Source organism: Homo sapiens, chromosome 10 (assembly GCF_000001405.40).
Source record: "Homo sapiens chromosome 10, GRCh38.p14 Primary Assembly".
NCBI classification, from domain to species: Eukaryota; Metazoa; Chordata; class Mammalia; order Primates; family Hominidae; genus Homo; species Homo sapiens.
The window spans coordinates 127165386-127169087 of record NC_000010.11 but is presented as its reverse complement, the minus strand read 5'-3'; the positions used below and the strand labels follow the sequence as shown (position 1 = coordinate 127169087).

Here is a 3702-nt window from a genome sequence, read left to right as displayed (position 1 = left end):
CATGTTTGCGTGATGTGACTTGCGTTAACCTAGAATATTGATGCTAGATGGGTAGAAATGATATACTTGCTGTATCTTATGTCCTCATATTGACAAATCACTCAGAATCAGAGAGACCTGTCAGGGGATAAGAAATCTCTGAATTTGCTCTAATTACCAATGCCCAAACAGAATAAATACTGCATCACAATTACAGAGGAAGCATAAGGGGACTATTTAAGTTACAGAGCAGAAAGAACCCACATGGAAAATTGTGCACCGCTGCAGCAGCTGTGCATAAACGCTGAGGAATCACGAAGGTGTGGGCTTAGAGTCTGATTTCCTGGCTTCCCAGGCTCACCCCTCCAAGAGCCAAGGGGAAAGCTGGGCACAGTGAGGTGATCCCATCCCAATTTGGCTATGCACTCTCTAGCAGGATGATTAGGTTGTTCTTGCCAAAACCTACCCACTTAATAGAGATCAAAGTCTTCCACCTGGTTAGCTGAGAATGGCCCAATTTTGAGGAGAGGAGGTGGGTGACATTAGACAGTCTCTCAACAGCCTCTGCAGTCCTGAAAATGATCTTGTGGCTCTTCTCTGGAATACTGAGTGCCGTGTTCCCTGGCTCTGGCCAGATGCATCACAGAAAAGCAGGGCATTGTGAGCAGCAGAGAGAAAGCAGCGCTGAGCTGAGATCAGAAGCAAAAAGGTTGTTGCTGCCAAATGCTCTCCTGTGCCTTAGCACTCCCTATTTGAATGGCATGGAAATGTCAGCACTTCATTTTCTAATATTCTTGATAAATCAGTTTCGATGTCTCTCTCCACATTTATCATAACCCAAAACATTTTAAATCATTCCAGCCAGCTGGCTGAGGTCAGCCTCCCATGCACTTGGTTCTTCCATTTTTCCAGAGTGAGATTCAGGAGAGGGATAGGGTGGGGTGACCAGGCTCTCCACTCTGCAGGTCCTGAGATGCTGACCTTCCCTCTCCTGACCTGCGTGCACAGGCTTATTAACCCCTCTGGACCTCAGCTTTTCTCTGTAACAAACAGCTGAGAATACCTGCCTCTTGGGCTTCTCTTGGAGATGAAATGAATTATGGACAAAGAGGGTCTCAGTCCTCAGGCTATGTTTGCACTCAGTAAGTTACTACCTTTGAGGTTACTTTGCTACTGGGAAGCAACCCTCCAAGTGCTAAGATTCAGGGAGGTGAAGCCAGGGGAGGAGCTTGAACACAGGGAAGAGATTTTCTTGCTTTATTTTACAGGGTGGTGTATTTTGGGGATGGGGGGTGGTGGTGAGGATCACTAAATGGAGACATGAAGCTTTGTCTTGGTGGTTTCCAGAGAAAAGGACAGGACCAGTTCATTTGGTGTCACGGGCAGGGGAGCTGATGTAGCGTCAGGAGACCTGGATTTTGTTTTAGTTCACCCTGGCCTAGCCTCTGAGCTACATTTTTTGATATGAAAGGAACATGGTCCAAATGAGAGGAGAGGCCCTAGAGGCTCCTTTCTGCTCCAAGAACATATTCTATAGAGATGTCTGAGAACATCACAATTTCAGCCACTGCCTTATAATATTCATAAAAGTTTCGGGGCGGGGGGGAACCTCGCTGCAGATCTCCATCAATAAAAGTGTGCAATGATCCCACTGTTCTGTTTTCTTTTTCCTCTTGACACTTCATCAATTCCTTATCTCTCCCAGTACTACAAATGCTAGAGTTGGTCTCTGTCCTGCAAGGTTGCAATCCTTTGAATTGTTTTCAGGGAAGCCATTTTCTTTTCTTTTTCTGTTGAAACTAATGGCTTTTATTTATTTGCAATAGAATATTCAAGTTCGAAACCCCAAATATAAGTTATCATTTCTTTGAAATTTTGAAATGGGAAGCACATTTCATATTCTTTCTATCATTTTCTTCATTTAATTCACAGGGTCACAGCAAGCCTTTTTTATAGCTTATATTTATATAACTTTGTAAACACTACTTTTAAGTTCTTAAAAAATAATAAGGCTTTCCATCTCTAATATGAAAAATAAAGCAAAATATATTTGAAAGAATATAAAACACATTTCAAATTCTTGCTTTGGGCTTCATGTAGGTATCACACATACATGAAAATGTAATTTAAATAATCTTCCTGTGCAGAATGCCAAAATAGATTTCAAATACCTCCTCAGCCTTTTAAGTTGGTAGGTGAATAAAAGCCTCACCACCGAGCCACTAGGCAATCCAGACAGCCCATTTGCAGATAAAATGAGCAATTCAAGGCATGGCATGAACATTTATGGAATTTATGGATTTGTGTCCCAGAATTTGGATTTAAAAAAAAAATGAAATGCAAGTTCTAATTTTCAAATAATTTTAAAAACTCCATGCAATTCCTGCTAAGCTATGCAAAAATGGTTTGAGCTCTATTTCCCACTGGAGCTGAGGGAGCGTTCTAGTGAAATGAGAATCCCCATACAGATGACCTACAGAGGTCACCTATTTTGGGCACCTACAATGTGCCAGCCATTTGGTATTATCTTCTTTAATCTTTAGAGTAACAATCCAAGGTGGGAATGCCCTCCATGAGGAAGCTAGAGCTTGGATATGCTCAGTACCTTCTCCAAGGTCAAAAAGCTGGTAAGACATGTTAATGCCAGAATTCACATCTGGGCTGTCAGACCGGCCCACTCATCTTCTCTCTCCCCTGAAAATGGGGAACCAACATGAACTAATGAAAATGCAGGCATTTTTTTGGGCCGGGCGCGGTGGCTCACGCCTGTAATCCCAGCACTTTGGGAGGCCGAGGTGGGTGGATCACGAGGTCAGGAGATCGAGACCATCCTGCCTAACACGGTGAAACCCTGTCTCTACTAAAAATAAAAAAAATTAGCTGGGCGTGGTGGCAGGCACCTGTAGTCCCAGCTACTTGGGGGGCTGAGGCAGGAGAATGGAGTGAGCCCGGGAGGCAGAGCTTGCAGTGAGCCGAGATTGTGCCCCTGCACTCCAGCCTACGCTACAGAGCGAGACTCTGTCTCAGAAAATAAATAAATAAATAAGAAAATGCAGGCATTTTTTAAATTTTTTAATTTTTTTGCTAATGCAAGTCTGGATTTTCCCTTTTACTTGAAAAGGCTACAGAAGCTCCTACCCTCCCAGGCCTGGTAGGGTTCATGCCAATTCATCTTCTGGAGAAAGCATCTTTCCGGTGCTAGAGACAGCAGAGATCCCCTCATTGAGAGGGTCCCATAAATAAAGTGTATTGGGAAGGATCTGTAATCATTAACAGGAATCCTCTCTGTGAAGTAATTTCAGACAAATCAAGGCCATTGATCTTTAAGTCCAGGGATCTGGGTGCCAGGATGCAACGTCTCTCCTTGAGGAACCTGCCTGGGAACCCAGTTCACAGGCCATTTGTAATATCAGTGGTCCTTCAGAGGACCGTCACATGCCTGTCTGGCTCTTCCTTCCTCATATTGATGTCCACATCCATGTGAACAACAAACATTTGATACTGCATTGTTTGCAATGCAATATAAAAATAAACCTTAAAGATAGGCTGGAAAGAACATTCATGAAAATTGAGATCCTGGGGGAAAAAATGATCTAACAACGAGCATCCTTCAACCAAAAAGGCAGTAAAGTTTTTTCTATCAGTATGTCATTGGTTACAGCACTAGGTTATCCCCCTAGCAAAGTCTCATAACTGGACATCAAGAAATTTATAAATGATCAC

The 3702-nt window shown here is 43.1% G+C and overlaps 2 protein-coding genes across 32 annotated transcripts in view; one reads left to right on the top strand and one right to left on the bottom strand.

The window, feature by feature from the left end:
* The window catches only part of DOCK1 (dedicator of cytokinesis 1), a 547089-nt gene that overhangs the window by 283429 nt on the left and 259958 nt on the right, over positions 1–3702 (bottom strand). The gene's annotated exons all lie outside the window — the stretch shown is intronic.
* Positions 1–3702, top strand: part of INSYN2A (inhibitory synaptic factor 2A) — a 61162-nt gene that overhangs the window by 27504 nt on the left and 29956 nt on the right. The window lies entirely within an intron of this gene.